Raw genomic sequence first — 17,742 nt, 5'->3', positions numbered from 1 at the left:
TTCTGGAATCGCACCAGGCGGCATTTCCCAACCTAGCGGATCCTTTTGGCTTGCAGGAAACCGAGGGCTGGATCTCAGAGAGCGCCAGATATCCAGGAGATGTCTGGATCCCAGGTTCACGCGGAGCTGGAGACTGGGACTGATTTAGCCACACTCCCTGAGCTGTACCTCTGTTCATGAAAAATCAAGAATATTCTGAAGTATTGGAAGGCCACTAACATAAAATGAGTCATATTTCTTAAAACCTGTGGTCTTGCTCTCCAAGATACAATGAGAGATTGCAAGAAAAGAAAGAGGGAAAGATTTACAGAATGGCTTTTAATTTTTTTCTCCCCCTACTAAGTTGTTTTCTTATACATTGAACCATGCAAAGGAGAATAAAAGTGGCATATCTAGTGTGTCTACATGACAAAAGTATATTTTTAAATGTCTGGTTATGGTTCATATCAAAGAGGTCAGTAGTAGATATTTACAATTTTAAGAGTATATTGTAAAATTTCTCCTGTTTTAATTCAGTAATAATTTTTTAAGACAATGAGGAAAGATAAACCTAATTTCAGTGCTATCTTGAACAATATTTCGATATACATTTCCTTAATTAACTTTTATTGATAATAGTATTTAGTATTTGGGGATTACAAAACTCGAAAAGGAAATCGCTCGTCATGGCACAGATAGCTCATCCCTAAGGCATGTGGAATGACTGACCACACTCATAACCTGGACGCCAGGGGAGTCATTCCCCAGGGTATTTTTGTGACAAGGGATTATTTGATCCACACAATAGCAGTGTGGAATCAGGAACTAAGGCAGTTCGGAAAATCCAAGCAAACATAGTAAACAAATGCCCTTAAACTCTCAGCTCCTATCTGTCACTGTTTGATCAGAAAGACTGCAGTGGTTAATGGAGATGTTTTGTAGTTCTTATAAAATGTATAATTATTTGTATGAGTAAACCAATCCACTCAATCATTACAATATTCTTTTTCTGGTATGAGTGGTTAGAAGATTGGCAAATAAATTTCATGTTATTTGATATAGTAATCATACAGAGAAGACAATAACATTTATACCAAGAACGATCTAGAAATTCATCATGTTGTTATTATTTATGCATAGAAGGATACCTTTTTTAAAAAAAGTGCTATTTATGATTAATTTTAAATGCGCACAATAGCACATAATTTCAAATAAATGCTAGGTAAACTTTGCAAAGTGAAATATTTAATAGCTTTAGATGTGCAGCCTTTAAAATTACGATTTGTATTGCATTATACTTTCCCATAAGAAGTTAATAGAAATTGGAATTTCAAGACAATTTATATTAAGTCATGTAATTTTAGGCCATAGTAAGTTTTTCAGAAACTTTATCTAAATTTTTCTGCAAATACATTTTTCAAAAACCTCATCGGCAAATTTACTATCTGCATCTTAGTTGATTTATTCCAGCATGTTTGCCTATACATTTCAAAATTCTCTGTCAATAAACAGATAATTCTAAACTGTGTGTTCAAGACTTTGAGATTTCTGGAGTTCACCTGAAAAAGAAAACTGTTAGGTATACACTGAGATAAATAATGCCAGAAAAAAAAAAGAGTGAGCAATGATTAACTACAAATTATCTCCTAGCATATTGGCAGCATTTCTCACAGTGCCATTACTGAAAAGTTGATATATTGGGCAATTTGTAGGAAATGACTGTACACATATAGAGAAAGAGAGAAAGAGAGAGTAAGAGAGAGGAAAATATTTAAATAAACAAAAGTTATTGGTGGGGAAATAGTGTCCAATATAGAAGTTTCATCTAGGATTGTACGTTAACATTATAAACTTGAAGAGCTAAGGATATAAAATTTAACTATATTTTACTCATGACTTGGCATTTTGTTTTGCAAGGTATCAGGTAATATAACTAACTCAAATCTTCTACAAGTTACCATTTGGCATTTCTATTGCACTACAAAAAAAAAAAAAAAAAAAGAGTGAGAAATTGCCCACAAAGTAATTGCAAAATTTTGCCTAGATATTTTACATATTATAGAGGCATGCACTTTCTATTACATTTTCATTTTTATGAAACAAGTTCTGGCATAGAAAGGTGAAAATGGCTGATAAAAATTAAAATTGTTGATTAATCTACTGAACTGTCACAAATAATGTAACTTTTACGTTCTTCCCTGACAATGTTATTTTCCAAAGCTTGACTCACTAGGTTGTATAAGAACATGATAGGCCCAGCCCCTGAGTGTGTCACCAGTGACAGCTGGGCCACTTGAATCAGGTCTTAGAGTTTGGCTCCTGTTCATGGCAAATTTGTAGGAGAGCAGCCTAGGCCTTGTCCCAACTGGTCTCCCTCCCTGGAATGTATCAACCTAAGGTAGTCACTTTATTTGAGAGTAGGAGCATGAATCCAAAGACGAAGTCCTCCCAAATCTGTGCAGCAAGATTTCATCATCAGGGTCAGCAAATGCAAACTATTTTCTTTCAAAAACAAATTCTTCTCTTAAAATATATTAATAACACCTTAAATGGAGGAAAGTTCCTTAAACTTTATGATTTTTTTAGGATCAAATTTAAATGCTCAACTTCAGTTTTCAATAACTTGATGGCATTTGCTTATAGAAATAACAGGTGAAATTTTGCTTTGACATTTCAGAAGCATTTAGGTGGCCATTTGCTTAAATTTTTCTTTGACCCCATTCACCTCATCTTTGAAATGGAGAAAATAACCCCCCTTGCAGGGTTCTCGTGAGGCTTAAACGAGATGCTATATGTAAGGCAACTGACTAGGCCAATGAAGTTAGCACTCAGCAAAGTTAGTGCCCTTCTCTGGCCTTATTCATTTCATCTAATTTCTCTCTGGGCAACCAGCTACCCTAAATAATCCTTGTTCCTTGTTGGCCATAAACAGTGCCTCTTTGCATGTCATAAAGCATAGGTGCTAACCTGCAGACATCACTTAAATGAAGGACACATCCTGCTTATGTAGGATAAAAATTAATGCTCACAGCATTCACCCTTTTCTTCAGCTGTTTGAGCTGTGTAATCTAATCACCATTTACTCTTCCCATAGTGGGAGTCAAAGTAAACCTTTTCAACCATATGTGACCAGTTATGCACAAAATGCATTCATCTAACATAATTAATGGAAACTAATAGAATCTAAACAATAAAAATCATATAATTCCGACAAAGCTTAAAACTCCTTTGACATATTATTTGAATAACAAGTTTTTTAAGGTGAAATTCAAACTCCTCTAAATGGCATTCAGGAGTTTTCAGAAGCCTCGGTGCCTACTTACTTTTCAGCCTTATCCCAGCCTTTCTTCCCAAATTTGCCCACCTTCTGCTTCAGCTACAGAGCATCCTTTACTCTTCCCATAGCACACTTTATTCTTTCCCGCCTCTGTGCCTTCTCACACATTATTCCCTTTGGCTCAGTTGTCCTTTCCTTCATTTATACCTGACAAATTTCAGCTGTTTATACCTATAGTTATTCAGACTGTGTAGGTAGTGAGTATTTATGTAATATTTTATGTGAAAAAAGTTATTGTCTTTTTAAAATATGCATACTTTATAAAACTTCTCATAGATTCAGTGGGTACATATGCAGATTTGCTACATGAATATATTACGTAGTGGTGAAGTTTGGGCTTCTAGTATATGCATCACCTGACTAATGAACATAGTGCCCAGTAGGTAACTTTTCAACCCTCACTGCCCCTCTCACCCTCCCCTCTTTTGGAGTCCCCATTACCTATTGTTTTCCTCTGTATGTCCATGTGTACCCATTGTTTAGTTCCCACTTATAAGTGAGAACATGTGGCATTTGATTTTGTTTCTGGGTTATTTCATTCAGGATAATGGCCTTCAGCTCCATCCATGTTGCTCTGAAAGATATGATTTCTTTTTTTTTATGACTGCACAGTATTCCGTGATATATATATGCCACGTTTTCTTCATCAAATCCACCATTGATGAACACCTGGGTTCATTCCACGTCTTTGCTAATGTAAATAGTGCTGCAATAAACATACAAATGCAGGTGTCTTTTTGATGTAACATTTTTTTTTTCCTTTGGGTAGATACCTAGTGGCAGGTATTGCTGGGTCCAATCGTAATTCTGGTTTTATTTCTTTGAGAAATGTCTATATTATTTTCCATAGAGGTTGTACTAATTTACATTCCCACCAGCAGTGTATAAGCATTCCCTTTTCTCCATAACCTCACTAACATCTGTTTTTTGACTTTTTAGTGATAGCCATTCTTACTGGTGTGAAACAGTATCTTTCTTTTTTCTTTTCTTTTTTATTTTACTTTAAGTTCTGGGATACATGTGCTGAATGTGCAGGTTTGTTACATAAGTATACATGTGCCATGGTGGTTTGTTGCACCTATCAACCCTTCATCTAGGTTTTAAGCCCCACATGCATCAAGTATTTGTCCTAATGCTCTCCCTCCACTTTCTCCCCACTCCCTGGTAGGCCCCAGTGTGTGATGTTCGCCTCCCTGTGTCCATGTGTGTGAGACGGTATCTTATTGTTGTTTTAATTTGCATTTCTCTAATGATTGGTGATGTTGCGTTTTTCTTGTGTTTGTTGGCCACTTGTGTATTTTCTTCTGACAAATGTCTGCTCATGTTCTTTGCTCACTTTTTAATGGGGTTATTTGTTTTTCTAGACCCTATCTCTCACTATATACAAAAATTAACTCGAGATGAATTAAAAGACTTATATCTAAGACCTGAAACTATAAAAATCCTAGAAGAAAGCCTAGTAAAACTCTTCAGGACATTGGCCTACGTAAAGAATTTATGATTAAGACCTCAAAAGCAAATGCAACAAAAACAAAAATAAACAAATGAGACTTAATTAAACTAAAAAGCTTCTAGACAGCAAAATAAATAATCAATAAAGAGACAACCTACAGAATGGGAGAAAATGTTTACACACTATGCATCTGCCAAAGAACTAATATCCAGAATGTATAAGGTTCTCAAACAACTCAACATGAAAAGTTATTGTCTTCAACCTGCTTTCCTTGGCTCCCTGCAGCCATACTAATTCAAGGCCAAGCCACTGTTGGAGTTGCATTGACTCATATTTGGAGGGTGGAGGTGGGAGGGTTCTATTTTCACCGTAATATAAATTATTTTCCTTCCTTGGAAAAAATCAAGCATCTACCTCATGTCTATAGCAGCTAGGAAAACAAAACAAAACAAACAAATAAACTACAAAAAAAGTTCAATTTTACATCTGGAGCTTCCTTTAAAGTATTGTTACCCTAGGCTGGTTGGCTAACTTCTCAGAATAATAATTGCCCTGGATACTTCACTTGGTTTTTAACACTAAATGAAGAAATACATGTCAAGCACTTGAAAACTAACATTTTGCATGTATTATTCTCATTTTATAAGTTTAATTAAATAAATACTTAAGATCTGGGAAGTTTTCATGCAGGAAGCACGATTTTTTAAAATTACGTCATTTAAAAAATAAAGCATCATTTAAAAAATTGCAAGTGCCATTTTGCAAGGCAAAACCTGGTGAACTGAAGATCATAACATCTTAAAGACATTAAGAGACGTTAGAGATTGCCTTTCATCAAATTTCCAAATAGCAGTGCAGAAAAATATCTGCACTGATTGCTTGAATTTTATAGCCCTTTAATGTTAGTTATTTCTTTATTTTTCTAAAATTAAGTAATGAAGACTAATAGAAATCTTTCAATTAGTATAATGCCCCACAAGCTATTTTATCTCATTTACTCCAAATAAGTAATAAAATTTAAATAATATATTCTTAAAATTTTTTAAATACTGATATAATGAGGCATGCAATTTTCAGTATTTTAAGGGTAAACATGTCTGCTATAAAAATGCTACTTAAAGCAGGACCAGAGTATATGATTGGTCTGTCATAAGTATTTTTAAGAAACATGGCATTGGTTAAAGGTATGATGAAGAGCACAATGAAACAAAATGAACAGATAAAATACTGTTAGATAAATTTGAATCTCACATTTAAAAAAATCAAGATTCCAATTAATTAGCAGCAATTAACTCTTTCCACAATTCATTACTTATGGTTTTCAGAGGTTAATTTTAAAATCAATTCTCTGTATCTATATATCTACCTATCTGTCTAGCAATATATGCATGTTGCCATGGATGTATATCTGTAAAGTATTCTGGAGAGTAAACAAGCTTCATAATCATGGACAAAGTATGTTCTTTATGTTACTGGAAACAGTTCCTGACCCCAAGAGAGGGTGCTTGAATCTCATGCAAGAGAGAATTCAGGGTGAGTCCATAGAGTAAAGTGAAAGCAAGTTTATTAAGAAAGCAAAGGAATAAAAGAATGGCTACTCCATAGACAGAGCAGCCCTGAGGGCTGCTGGTTGCCCATTTTTATGGTTATTTCTTGATTATATGCCAAATAAGGGGTTGATTCTTCACGCCTCCCTTTTTTAAATCATATAGGGTAACTTCCTGATGTTGCCATGGCATTTGTAAACTGTCATGGCATTGGTGGGAGTGTAGCAGTGAGAACCACCAGAGATCACTGTTGTTGCCATCTTCGTTTTGGTGGGGTTTAGCCAGCTTCTTTACTGCAACCTGTTTTATCAGCAAGGTCTTTATGACCTGTATCTTGTGCCAACCTCCTATCTCATCCTGTGACTCAGAATCCCTAACCGTCTGGGAATGCAGCCCAGTAAGTCTCAGCCTTATTTTACCGAGCCCTTATTCAAGATGGAGTTGCTCTGGTTCAAATGCCTCTGACATTTATATGAAAATAAATTAACCACCCCATGCCCTACATTACAATGGGAACAAAAAGAAAATGCTACTCAGTATTTCTACTTTCTCCACTGATCCTAAGATGAACTTATTTTATACTCATCTACAAAAAAAAAATGCTGTCAATTAAACCATAACACACTGCATTTTAAAAATCCCACCAACACTGTCTTAGCACTAAGATTAAGATATGATTAGTTTTTATCTGTTGGCTTTAGAAAGTTATTTGGACACTTTTGATTTTGCCTCTAAATGATGAGGAGGCACCTTGTCATTGTAAAAAAAATATGTATTTTTTCTTTAGATATGGCTCTATAATGTTTGTTACTTTGCTTTGCTTAACCTAATCCATCTTCTTGACTTGTGATGTTTTTATAAAAATAATTACTGTGATATAATATGAATTACTCTTATAAGTTACAGTCAACTGAAATCCTACAAATATATATTGGCATATGGTTTGGTATTTGGTATTTAAATAATTTTAAACTGGTATGAAATCCCTAAGTAAATTTTTTCAAGCCAGAGACATCCATTTTTCAAGCCAGAGACACCCACTGATACTAGTTAACAAGTATCAATGTAAAGAAAAATGCAATTATGGAATATAATATGATAAGCTACATAGTCTTTGAGATGGTTATAACACATACTCATTTATGTGGAACGTAAAATTGAGAAAGGGAATTTCCAATTTGAGCGTGAGTAGCTATATGAAGCTAATTGCTTCTATGTGCTCTGGTACATAAACCATTTACTTTGTTTTAGCACAGGAACGTTTTTAATGAAACAGGAATGTTTTTAACTATATCTTAGAAAAAGATAGAGAATTCTCTTTCTATGACCTTGAAAAGCACAATGCAAAATGAATACCTAATGATTTGAAATTCTGCGATACTAAAAGGGTTGAAAGAGATCAGTATAAATATTGATGTCTAAAACAAATGTGTTGTGTTACATGCTAGAATAAATGCTTTTTCTGGAGCCAATTCAGTATGTAAACAGAATTGAGATCTTTGGAATTATAGCTTCTTATCTGTATATCTATAGTTTCTTAGCTATAGTAAGATGTGTTTTTCTTTGTACATCAGAAGTATCAGATGAATTCAAAAGACTGAGAAATTTAGTTTCAATACTAAATAAATTCCTTTGTAGGACCCAGTATAGTTTAACCTTGAAACACACTATTACTTACTAGAAGCAAGAGCTAGTCTTTGTAGTTTTAATTTCTCAGTATATCCTATTGAAAAAGGAATATAACTGAATGAAAAGCACTTGCATGACATGTAAAAGTGAATTGCAATGCTTGGAGCAGCCAGAGAACCTTTCTCGGGGCAATGAAGAGACTCCATGTGTAATTCTTTAAACTAGAGCACCTAATTATCATTAGTTAATATTTATAAATGTCAACAAGATGGAAAAATTGGAAAGCATATCCACAATTTAGGAGCCAAAAAAATTTCAATCTAGACTTGATACTTAACGTGGACAGACAAGAACCAGTGGGGAAATGGTGGTCGTATGGGGAATAATATGATACAGAGACATGAGTTGTCTTGCTCCTGCTTGAAGATCTATCCTGCCGCCTCCCCACTGCTAATCCTTCATTAAATTCTTAGGTTCTATTGACATTAACCCTCAGGACAGTTGATCCTTCTGTAAGGTCAGAATTTGAATCCTCAAGGGAGGCTATCCTGACCAGATTTTTGTCTTTTAGTTTCACACACAGAAGTAATCATTTATTATTGATGTTAAAGACATTCTTCTTTTCAGAAGGTGCCAGGGTAGAGAAGACAAACAATTCACACAGAGAAATCACCATTCAAATGAGAGGGGTGAACCATGCTGTCCCTCTTGGGCAGAAGCACGCGTATAAATACATTGCTTACAGCCAGATTGATGCACACGTCTCTTCCAAAATAAACGGGGCTAGATTTTTTGTTTGGCAACCGTCGTATTAGGACTCACAGTTACTTTTCTAAGGTATTCTTTTTTACTCACAAGGATCAGAACTGAGCCTGAGAGGAACAGCTGTTCAGATCTTTTTATCTTTGGCCTAAGTCACAAACTTCCCACGTTGATATTTGATTGAAAGAATGAGTAATGGGTATTGTTGACTAGGGTTCAGTACTCAGATTGCAACCAACAACACTGCCTCAACTGGGACAAGGCGGCGAGAGGAATAAATGGCAGCCCAGTGTGTCTGATGTTGCACATACTTTCCCCTTAGCGTAATTAAAAGGTGGCATAATCCCCAAACTGAACTTTTTGAAAATTAGTCCATTTGTTCTGATTTAGGAACACCCATTTCTTCACACTTTCACGTTGCTGAAATGTTGCATTTCAGCAACAAAAACTGAAGTTTATGTTGATTTTTTTTAACGTTGCCTTATTTAAATAAATTAAGGAAGATCTCTCTTTGGCAGTGGTAAACTAGAAACAGTTGTTCATTACTTCTTATCCTGTAAAAATTTCAGGGAGGGGAACAACACAGGGGGTGGGGGGCAAGGGGAGGGAGAGCATTAGGACAAATACCTAATGCATGTGGGGCTTAAAACCTAGATGACGGGTTGATAGGTGCAGCAAACCATCATGGCACATGTATACCTATGTAATAAACCTGCAAATTCTGCACATGTATCCCAGAACTTAAAATAAAATAAAATAAGAATTTATTGTTCTTTCCACAAGAATAAAGAAAAGAAATTCAGAAATGTAAGCATTTAATCACATGGAAAATATAAATTATAATAATTTATTTCATAAATTTAATATGCTTTGACTTGAGCATATATTTTAAATTTAAATTTTCCTGCAGATACAGTAAATGGCATGCATAAATCTTAGTGCAAATCTTCAATCTCTCAGAAGTGGTTTCTTTGCCAACAAACAAACAGAAACTTATGAGGCACCACATCCCATTCTACAATTTTTAACTCATTACAGTATAAGAGTATATTATTTTGTTCAATGACTAGACCAACACTTTTCTACAGTCTGTGATACTGGTGACTAATCATAGTAAGCTACTACTTTTAAAGTTCCTATGGATATTGAAACCACCTTTGCAAAAATTATGTCAGTGAGAAAATTATGGCAGTGGGGGAGATCTGATCCAGCCAACCCTCCCTCTCGCCTTTAGCTTTCAAGCTGCTTTATTCCTAGGCTTGGGCTGAGTTAACTTTGGAAGATATAGAGATTATAGTTTATTTAAATATCTTGCAGTTTGGGCCTTCCCCAAAACTCAACCACCTTTAAAAAGTTAATGAGACATCAGCAGGCTAAGGGGAGGAGAAGAGCCTTCATCTTGCTAAGGTGTAGACTGGTCAAAAGATATGCAGTTTCTTTAATTACTGCTGCAGAGAACATCACTGTTGTAGATTGACCTTTTGAGATAACTTTTCTGGATTTTTGCATGTCGGACACCCATTGCTCTACCACCTGATCCCACTTACCATGGCTTCTGTGGCCCCACCCAGAAGCAACTCAGTGCAAGAGGACAGCTTCAACTCCCTATGATTTCCTCTCTGACCCAACCAATCAACAGCAAGCACTCACCCATGGCCTAACCATCTCCACCCCTTCCTCTAAACTACCTTTGAAAAACCCCTAACCTATGACCCTTTGATGAGATTGATTTGAGTAATAACTCCATCTCCACGTAGCATGGCCAGCCTTGTGTCAATTAAAGAGTTTCTTTACTGCAATGCCATGGCCTTTATTTGTGCAGTGGGCAGAAAGAACCCCTCAGTTGGTTACAGTGTCTTTGACATTCTACATTCAATAAATTCCAAATGGAATAATATTTTAGCAAAATCCAATAGGTTTTTAAAATATATCTAAAGAATGTTATTAAAATAATATCATCTATTCATGCATTCTACATATTTATTTAGTGCCTTTTGTGTGCCAAGTTCTGTTCTAGGAACCAGCACTATATCCGGGAGCAAAAGAGAGAGTTTCTCCTCAAGCTTACATTCTAGTTGAGTGGTACTGACAAAAGTAAATAGACAAATATCCATTGTGTCTTGTGATACACACTAGAATGAAAACTAATGAAAAACTGACATAAAGAATAATCAGCTGGTGATAGTGAAAAAGAGTGATCTTCTCTAGATAGGTAATTATGGAAGTCTTTCGGTGAAGGTGAAATAAAAGAACTATAGCATGGAAAGCATTAGCCACTTGAATTCAAGGAAGAGCATTCTTGGCCATGGGAGTTCCAAGAACACTGTGGCTGGAGGGTAGTAATCCAAGGAGAAGGTGGTGCAAGGTGAAGTTAGGATTGATGGTAGGAGACAGGACACCCAGGGCCCTGCAGGTTACAGCTGATCTTTTCGTTTAGGGCAATGGCAGGTTGGAGAGTATAATGCTGAGGAGGAACACAACCTAATTCACCTTTGCAGGTCACTGGCTGATATGTAGGAAATGGAGTGGAAGGGGAGGCAGAAAGCAAACAGAGAATAGTAATTCCTGTTATTATGATTCCAGTAAATAATTTTCTTTATATGATGAAGCTACAGATTTCAAATAGAGTTTCAAATATTCAAACAGTGAAATTTGTCTGGCTGAACATGGAGGAAGAAAGGAGAAACAAAACTCAGTTCTGCATTTCAATATTGTTATCATTAAAACAAGACAATGGAAATATTAAACAATGCTTTGTATTTCTCCACATTAGGAGATGGGATGTAGTTGTCAGAAGTTCAGGTTAACTAATAGGTCATTGATATTGCTCCTGGTGATCTCGTTTTATGATTTTTTTTCTTTTTCTTTTTTTCTTTTTTTTTTGAGTTGGAGTTTTGCTCTTTTTGCCCAGGCTGGAGTGCAATGGCACAGTCTTGGTTCACCACAACCTCCACCTCCCAGGTTGAAGTGATTCTTCTGCCTCAGCCTCCTGAGTAGTTGGGATTACAGGCATGCTGCCACACCCAGCTAATTTTGCATTTTTAGTAGAGATGGAGCTTCACCATGTTGGCCAGGCTGATCTTCAACTCCTGACCTCAGGTTATCTGTCCCCCTCAGCCTCCCAAAGTGCTGGGATTGCAGGCGTTAGCCACCACACCCGGCCTACTTCTCTTAAAATAGATCTTAAATCATGTAGACCAGAGCAGCCTGAGAAAGGGTAGTATAAAGCTTTCCAGCTCCCTCCTCATTAAAGGAAGCAAGAAATGGGTAATGCTAAAACAAGTTTTTATTTCTTCATTTGTATGCTTTTATTTATGTATTTGGTTAGTTAGCTTTAAAATAAAATTTAAGATGACATAAAGCATTGCAATTAAGAGCTGGAACTCTGAGTTCCAGAGACCTGAGACTAAGACTAACTCTGCCACTTACTTAGGGCCAGCAATTTCCCTGAGCTTCAGCTTCCTCATGAACAGAATAGAGTTTTAAGGATTAATTAAGATAATACATGTGAGGAGCGACATCAGGAAGATGGCAGAGTAGAAGATCCTAGCCTTCACACACACACACACACACACACACACACACACACACACAATTAGCTATCCAAGAATAAAAATAGCTCTAGGAGAGCTCAGAAGTGTAGGTAAGATACTGTCACAACACAATGGAGCAAAAAAATCAAGAAATAACTGCACAAAAATGGTAGGAAGAACAGTTTTATTTTGCTGCATTATCTCATCCCCTAGGCCATCACAGTTCAGCAACCAGTGATAACTCCCCAGCCCATGCATGAGCTTCTCAAACAGGGAGAAGAAGAGCAGGGTGAATGCCCAGCTTCCCCAGCCTTTTGGGCATCGCATGAAGGACCCACTTTGGCTTCATCTACCCAGATTGCTGGGGAAACCAACACAGCTGAGACATCTGGAGATGGGTAGAATAAAAGAAGAAGAGTAGGGCCTATCAGTATCAGCCACATGGCAGAAGACACCATGGTCCCCAGAGGCCTCGAATTTGTATTGACAACTTTAAGAAAATTGAGCTCATATCAACTATCTTCTCAGTAGAATGAAACTAGAAATCAAAAATAGAAAGAAAACAGGAAAATTCACAAATACATGTAAGCTAAACCACACATTCTTAAACAACAATTGAGTAAAAGAGAAAATGAAAAGGGAATTTAAAAAATTATCTCAAGACAAGTAAAAATGAAAATATAACTTACCAAAACTTATGGGATGCGACAAAAGCAGTACTAGGAGGGAACTACTTTAACACCTAGTATTAAATGCCTATGTTAAAGGAGAAAGATATCAATTTAAAAACCTAGATTTATATTCCGAGAAACTAGAAAAATAAGAACAAACTAAACCCAAACTTAGCAAAAGGAGGAAAATGATAGAGTGATGTAAAATAGAGAATAGAGGAAAATGGATTGGTTTTTAAAAAGTTAAACAATCAACAAATCCTAAACTAGGGGGAGGAGCCAAGATGGCCAAATAGGAACAGCTCCAGTCTAGAGCTCCCAGCGTGAGCGACGCAGAAGACGGGTGATTTCTGCATTTCCAACTGAGGTACTGGGTTCATCTCACTGGGGTGTGCCAGACAGTGGGTGCAGGACAGTGGGTGCAGTGCCCCGTGCATGAGCTGAAGCAGGGCGAGGCATTGCCTCACCTGGGAAGCCCAAGGGGTCAGGGAATTCCCTTTCCTAGTCAAAGAAATGGGTGACAGACGGCACCTGGAAAATCGGGTCACTCCCACCCTAATACTGCGCTTTCCCAACGGGCTTAAAAAATGGCACACCAGGAGATTATATCCACACCTGGCTCGGAGGGTCCTACGCCCACGGAGTCTCACTCATTGCTAGCACAGCAGTCTGAGATCAAACTGCAAGGTGGCAGCGAGGCTGTGGGAGGGGCGCCCGCCATTGCCTAGACTTGATTAGGTAAACAAAGTGGCAGGGAAGTTTGAACTGGGTGAAGCCCACCACAGCTCAAGGAGGCCTGCCTACCTCTGCAGGCTCCACCTCTGGGGGCAGGGCACAGACAAACAAAAAGACAGCAGTAACCTCTGCAGACTTAAATGTCCCTCTCTGACAGCTTTGAAGAGAGCAGTGGTTCTCCCAGCATGCAGCTTGAGATCTGAGAATGGGCAGACTGCCTCCTCAAGTAGGTCCCTGAACCCCGAGTAGCCTAACTGGGAGGCATCCTCCAGTAGGGGCGGACTGATAGCTTACACGGCCGGTACTCCTCTGAGACAAAACTTCCAGAGGAACGATCAGGCAGCAGCATTTGCGGTTCACCAATATCCGTTGTTCTGCAGCCACTGCTACTGATACCCAGGCAAACAGGGTCTGGAGTGGACCTCTAGCAAACTCCAACAGACCTGCAGCTGAGGGTCCTGTCTGTTAGAAGGAAAACTAACAAACAGGAAGGACATCCACACCAAAAACCCATCTATATGTCAACATCATCAAAGACCAAAGGTAGATAAAACCACAAAGATGGGGAAAAAACAGAGCAGAAAAACTAGAAACTCTAAAAATCAGAGCACCTCTCCTCCTCCAAAGGAACGCAGCTCCTCACCAGCAGTGGAACAAAGCTGGACGGAGAATGACTTTGACGAGTTGAGAGAAGAAGGCTTCAGAGGATCAAACTACTCCAAGCTACAGGAGGAAGTTCAAACAAATGGCAAAGAAGTTAAAAACTTTTAAAAAAATTAGACAAATGGATAACTAGAATAACCAATGCAGAGAAGTCCTTAAAGGACCTGAAGGAGCTGAAAACCAAGGCACGAGAACTACGTGAAGAATGCAGAAGCCTCAGTAGCCAATGCAATCAACTGGAAGAAAGGGTATCAGTGATGGAAGACGAAATGAATGAAATGAAGCGAGAAGAGAAGTTTAGAGAAAAAAGATTAAAAAGAAACGAACAAAGCCTCCAAGAAATATGGGACTATGGAAAAGACCAAATCTGCGTCTGATTGGTGTACCTGAAAGTGACAGGGAGAATGGAACCAAGCTGGAAAACACTCTGCAGGATATTATCCAGGAAAACTTCCCCAATCTAGCAAGGCAGGCGAACATTCAAATTCAGGAAATACAGAGAATACCACAAAGATACTCCTCGAGAAGAGCAACTCCAAGACACATAATTGTCAGATTCACCAAAGTGGAAATGAAGGAAAAAACGTTAAGGGCAGCCAGAGAGAAAGGTCAAGTTACCCACAAAGGAAGCCCATCAGACTAACAGCTGATCTCTCAGCAGAAACTCTACGAGACAGAAGAGAGTGGGGGCCAATATTCAACATTCTTAAAGAAAAGAATTTTCAACCCAGAATTTCATATCCAGCCAAACTAAGCTTCATAAGTGAAGGAGAAATAAAATACTTTACAGAGAAACAAATGCTGAGAGATTTTGTCACCACCAGGCCTGCCCTAAAAGAGCTCCTGAAGGAAGCACTAAACATGTAAAGGAACAACCGGTACCAGCCACTGCAAAAACATGCCAAATTGTAAAGACCAAAAAGGCTAGGAAGAAACTGCATCAACTAACAAGCAAAGTAGCCAGCTGACGTCATAATGACAGGATCAAATTCACACATAACGATATTAACTTTGAATGTAAATGGGATACATGCTCCAATTAAAAGACACAGACTGGCAAATCGGATAAAGAGTCAAGACCCATCAGTATGCTGTATTCAGGAAACCCATCTCCTGTGCAGAGACACACAAAGGCCCAAAATAAAGGGATGGAGGAAGACTTACCAAGCAAATGGAAAACAGAAAAAGGCAGGGGTTGCAATCCTATTCTCTGATAAAACAGACTTTAAAACAACAAAGATCAAAAGAGACAAAGAAGGCCATTACATAATGGTAAAGGGATCAATTCAACAAGAAGAGCTAACTATCCTAAATATATATGCACCCAATACAGGAGCACACAGATTCATAAAGCAAGTCCTCAGTGAACTACAAAGAGACTTAGACTCCCACACAATAATAATGGGAGACTTTAACACCCCACCATCCACATTAGACAGATCAACGAGACAGAAAGTTGAAAAGGATATCCAGGAACTGAACTTAGCTCTGCACCAAGCAGACCTAATAGACATCCACATTAACTCTCCACCTCAAATCAACAGAATATACATTCTTCTCAGCACTACATCACACTTATTCCAAAACTGACCCCATAGTCGGAAGGAAAGCACTCCTCAGCAAATGCAAAAGAACACAAATTACAACAAATGGTCTCTCAGACCACAGTGCAATCAAACTAGACCTCAGGATTAAGAAACTCACTCAAAACCGCTCAACTACATGGAAACTGAGCAATCTGCTCCTGAATGACTACTGGGTACATAACGAAATGAAGGCAGAATAAAGATGTGCTTTGAAACCAATGAGAACAAAGACACAACATACCAGAATCTCTGGGACACATTCAAAGCAGTGTGTAGAGGGAAACTTATAGCATTAAATGCCCACAGGGGAAAGCAGGAAAGATCTAAAATGGACACCCTAACATCACAATTAAAAGAACCAGGGAAGCAAGAGCAAACACATTCAAAAGCTAGCAGAGGGCAAGAAATAACTAAGATCACAGCAGAGCTGAAGGAGACGGAGACACAAAAAGCCCTTCAAAAAATCGATGAAACCAGGAGCTGGTTTTTGGAAAAGATCAACAAAATTGATAGACCGCTAGCATGACTAATAAAGAAGAAAAGAGAGAAGAATCAAATAGATGCAATAAAAAATGATAAAGGGGATATCACCACTGATCCCACAGAAATACAAACTACCATCAGACAATCCTATAAACACCTCGATGCATATAAACTAGAAAATCTAGAAGAAATGGATAAATTCCTAGACACATACACCCTCCCCAGACTAAATCAGGAAGAAGTTGAATCCTTGAATAGACCAATAACAGGCTCTGAAATTGAGGCAATAATTAATAGCCTACCAACCAAAAAAAGTCCAGGACCAGAAGGATTCACAGCCGAATTCTAACAGAGGTACAAGGAGGAGTTGGTACCATTCCTTCTGAAACTATTCCAATCAATAGAAAAAGAGGGAATTCTCCCTAACTCGTTTTATGAGGCCAGCATTATCCTGACATCAAATCCTGACAGAGACACAACAAAAAGAGAATTTTAGACAAATATCCCTGATGAACACTGATGCAAAATCCTCAATAAAATACTGGCAACCCTAATCCAGCAGCACATCATAAAGCTTATCCAACTTGATCAAGTGAGCTTCATCCCTGAGATGCAAGGCTGGTTCAACATACGCAAATCAATAAACATAATCCAGCATAGAAACAGAACCAAAGACAAAAACCACATGATTATCTCAATAGATGCAGAAAAGACCTTTGACAAAATTCAACAGCCCTTCGTTCTAAAAACCCTCAATAAGTTAAGTATTGATAGGACGTATCTCAAAATAATACGAGCTACTTATGACAAACCCACAGCCAATATCATACTGAATGGGCAAAAACTGGAAGCATTCCCTTTGCAAACTGGCACAAGACAGGGATGCCCTCTCTCACCACTCCTATTTGACATAGTGTTGGAAGTTCTGGCCAGGGCAATCGGGCAGGAGAAAGAAATAAAGGGTATTCAATTAGGGAAAGAGGAAGTCAAATTGTCCCTGTTTGCAGATGACATGATTGAATATTTAGAAAACCCCGTCGCCTCAGCCCAAAATCTCCTCAAGCTGATAAGCAACTGCAGCAAAGTCTCAGGATACAAAATCAATGTGCAAAAATCACAAGCATTCTTATGCGCCACTAACAGACAAACAGAGAGCCAAATCATGAGTGAACTCCCATTCACAATTGCTTCAAAGAGAATAGAATACCTAGGAATCCAACTTACAGGTGATGTGAAGGACCTCTTCAAGGAGGACTACAAACCACTGCTCCATGAAATAAAAGAGGACGAAAACAAATGGAAGAACATTCCATGCTCACGGATAGGAAGAATCAATATCGTGAAAATAGCCATACTGCCCAAGG

The sequence above is a fragment of the Homo sapiens genome, chromosome 8, assembly GCF_000001405.40.
Source record: "Homo sapiens chromosome 8, GRCh38.p14 Primary Assembly".
Taxonomy (NCBI): domain Eukaryota; kingdom Metazoa; phylum Chordata; class Mammalia; order Primates; family Hominidae; genus Homo; species Homo sapiens.
The sequence above is the reverse complement of the archived record's forward strand: the minus strand, read 5'-3'. Positions refer to the sequence as shown.